This window comes from Homo sapiens, chromosome 4, assembly GCF_000001405.40.
Source record: "Homo sapiens chromosome 4, GRCh38.p14 Primary Assembly".
Classification (NCBI taxonomy): domain Eukaryota; kingdom Metazoa; phylum Chordata; class Mammalia; order Primates; family Hominidae; genus Homo; species Homo sapiens.
In genome coordinates this window covers 138,560,396-138,564,264 of record NC_000004.12, presented here as the reverse complement: position 1 = coordinate 138,564,264, position 3,869 = coordinate 138,560,396, and the positions used below count along the sequence as shown (strand labels likewise).

General features: G+C 47.2%; 1 pseudogene; it reads right to left on the bottom strand.

Moving 5' to 3' along the window:
- On the bottom strand, positions 1,878–3,575 carry LOC152594 (NIN1 (RPN12) binding protein 1 homolog pseudogene; annotated as a pseudogene).

The window sequence follows — 3,869 nt, the reverse complement described above, 5'->3', positions numbered from 1 at the left end:
ATGCCTTATGCAGTGCTTAGACTCATATTAGAAGCATGATAAGTTCAGTAAATAAATGAATTTACATTAAGACATAGAGAAATTGTTGCCTATCAGTGGTGAATCCTGGAGTTAGCAGAGAAGGTTGAGGGTGATCATTTTGGGCTCATGAGTAGTTTTATCAGTACAGTATCGTGTAGAGGTTGACCACGTAGGTCTCAGAGTCAAAGAGATCTGGGTTCATGCTCAAGCTCTACTACTTACTAGCAACATTATCTCAGGTATAATACTTAACCTCCATGAACTGTTTCCCAATATGTAACATAGAGGTAATTTTTTTTTACAAAATTGTTGCAGGGATATATGATAATGTGTGCAAGGTAATTAGTAAGAATAATAATGAATAACATTTATTTATTACTTTTCTGTGCCAGGTCCTAGGCAGAGGGCTTTACAGTGCTATGTCATCAGATCTCTTCATCAATCCTGCTAGATACAAACCATTATCTTTATTTTACAAGCGAGGAACTTGAAAAAGAGGTGAAGTTGGCTGGGCGTGGTGGCTCACCCCTGTAATCCCAGCACTTTGGGAGGCCGAGGCAGGCGGATCACAAGGTCAGGAGTTCGAGACCAGCCTGACTAACATGGTGAGACCCCGTCTCTACTAAAAATACAAAAAATTAGCCAGGCATGATGGTAGGCACCTTAATCCCAGCTACTTGGGAGGCAGAGGCAGGAGAATCGTTTGAACCTGGGAGGCAGAGGTTGCAGTGAACTGAGATCGAGCCATTGCACTCAAGCACCTGGGGGACAAGAGTGAGACTTCTCTCAAAAAAAAAAAAAAGGAGGTGAAGTTGAAGATCACACAGCCAGTAAGTGGCAGCATCAAGGTAAATTCAGAAATTTTAATTACGGAATCTAATGTTACAACACTAAGCTATACTGGCTTCCATATGGCATATGGAAGAATACATTCAAATGGAAGTAAAGAGCAAAGAGTTATTATTTTTAAGTAGATAAAGGAAATCTGAAGGGAGCAGAGAATTGAAATGTACACTAGGAAGCCACATCAAGGTAGCACATGGCCCCTAAAAGAGACAACTTTTCAAAGAATAGTTGCCTTTGTTTTGGTAGTTTTTGGTTTCCAAGACTAGTCCGATGACAGCCAATCGAACTCTATATTCTTTCCTTTTATCAAAGTGTTCTACTACCTCCAGTTTTTGGTGAACTACTTTCTCAATTGTTGCATCTTCCCTGGCTCATGGTGGATTGCTTTTTCCTAGGGTTTGTAATATTTTATTGGAAAAATAATCTTCTGTGGTTTTTTTTTTGGAAAATGTCCATGAGCATTGAATTGTAGACATGTTCTCACTGAATAGCTTCCTGTTTGCTTCTGACTGGGCTCTGGGGATTTCACAGCCTAGGTCAATGTTTATTTTGGGGTTTCTTTACAACACAGGCAATGCAAATTTAGAACGAAACCCATTCTGGATGGGCCTGAGGTTTTGATTTCTCATTGGAACCTTCCCTCTCCCACTGGCCTGATCAAATGGCAGCCTTCCTTACAGCTTCCTCTGGGCTAATGGTTAGAATTTTTGTAGTCTCATTTCCACAGATAGACCAGACCTTAGAGGCTGTTGAACTTATTCAGTGTTTTAGGTCCATTTTCCTTTCACATGGGCCAAAGCTACATATTTTCTCCACATGTGGTGGGTAGAAGCTCAGCCCTTACACTCTACAGCCCTTATCTGGGGCTGAAACCCTTTTATATGGCTGGGCAGCATCTTCTGCTTACTATACAGGCTTTATCATTCCTTATTGTTTCCCCAACCCAGCTCTTATTGTTCTTTCTTTTGAGGTGAGATATATATTTGGATCTTTTTTTTTTTTTTTTTTTTTTTTTAGTTTTATTATAACCTTGTATTTTCTAGCAAAAAGATAAATCTGAACTGGGCACACAGCTCAAGTGTCAGCCTTGAGATGACCTAAGCAGCAAAAATTTGGCCTATTTAATAAAATGCACAGGAGCTTGCAGCCGCATTTATTAGAAAAATATTATCCTTTGGAAACTCCTTTCTTAAAGATTGGCTCCAGGGCATTGTTCTTCCTGTTTTTATCCAATTCCCCTTCCTTGGCAGGCAGCCAGGCGCTCCGATGCTCACAGGCCATGGGACAGTCCAGTTCCGTGCAGACCCGGCAGGGCATGGGCGGGCAGAACCGCACCGTGAAGCCCGCCTGTTAATTTCCATCGGGTGGTCCTGGAGACGACATGGCTGGGGTAATGGGTCACCGGAACTCCACGGCGGCCAGACGCCCATCCAATTTGCCTGCGGGAACTCGCTCTTCACCTTTTCTTCACAAACTTCTTTCTGGAAGCGTTGGGATTTAAGCGTCTCCGCCCAGCTCCCAAGGTGCTGTCCCGGACCTGTAGGGTAGCTGAGCGGCTGGAGATGTCATTCTCGACAAAGGGCGACATCCCGGCGATGTAGTCAGGGGCGAACACGTTGGTTTTCTGCCTGGCCTTTCGGGAGAGTCGCGGTTGAGGGAAGCGCTGATCCTCGGTGAGATGGGGGTTGATGGCGTATGTGCCCCCTTTGGGAGTGGGAAGCGAGTACCGGAGGCCGCGGGCGTTCAGCACCTTGGGGTTGCGGGAGAAGTGCATGTGCAGGGTGCCGTCGTCACTGATGGTCACGGACACTTTCTTCAGGGTCTTGTTCCCACAGTGTGAACAGAACACTCGGCTCATGTCAGACGTTGTCTTGAAACAGCCGTGGCAGCCCAGACGTAGCTCTGGGCCTCACGAATCAGCATGCAGTTCACCGCCAGCACGTGCAGCCCCATCTGCAGCAGAACATTCTGCCTGGGGAAGTCTGTGGTCACGCAGCCAACCCGCACGTCCTCGGGGACGTCGCACTGCTCCAGCTCCTGCTGGATCTGCTTGATGTTACTGGGGGTTATCCAGCCACCCCCGTCGTCATCGCTGTCATCTTTTCTGTCTTCAAACCCGTTTTCTTCCTCCTCCTCCTCCTCTCTTGGAACGTCCTCACCTCTGTCAATCAGCGGCTCCTGCAGTTCATGATCGATGTTGGGCAGAGGGTTTCTCCGGAACATGAAGGAACTAAATTCCAGGTTCTCAGGCTCACAAGCTGGGTGTCCTTTTTCTGTTTCTTGTGGGGGTTTAGGCTTGGAGGGCAGATGGAAACCAGAAATGTGCAGAGGTGTTTCTGGGTGCTGAATCGATGAGCTCAGTTTAACCTTCTGTGGTTCTTGTTTTAGGTGAGACACCCCAACAAACTCTGCTTCCAACTGGTATGTGAGCGCAAGCACTTGGATGTCCGTGGCAGAGAGGCTGGGGTAGTCTCCTGTTTTCTTTGAAAACTCAGTCACCAGCTGCACGTATTCTGGTAAGGGCTCCTTGAACCGCAGCTCATAGGGCAGGACAGCGAGCCGCCTGCATGTGGCCTTGTCCCGAAACTCAGTGACCACCTCCCGGATGATGTAAATGTTCTTCCCGATGTCCTGCAGAGCCGCATCCCGAAGGAAAGCCCCAGCATCCGCCACAACTTGCTCCACTGGAGCCACGTTGTCTGCGTGAGCGGGGAGCGCGCATGCGCACGGAGCTTGCGCTGGCTCCTAAGTGCAAGTCTGGGCCTCTGGGAACCAGGAAGAGCAGCCGCGACTTGGCTGCGCCTCCTGGCGGCCACGCCAGCACTATATTTGGATCTATTAATCAGCATTTCCATGTTCCTTGTGAGATGTGAGCCCATTTATATTAATATTGTTTCAGTCCCTCATGTTACCAGAAGTGTTATGCAAAGGGGTAGAAAGCTGTGCAAAGAGCTGGGCTTTATTCTGTAGGTCACAGGGAGCCGCAAAAGACTTTTGATTAA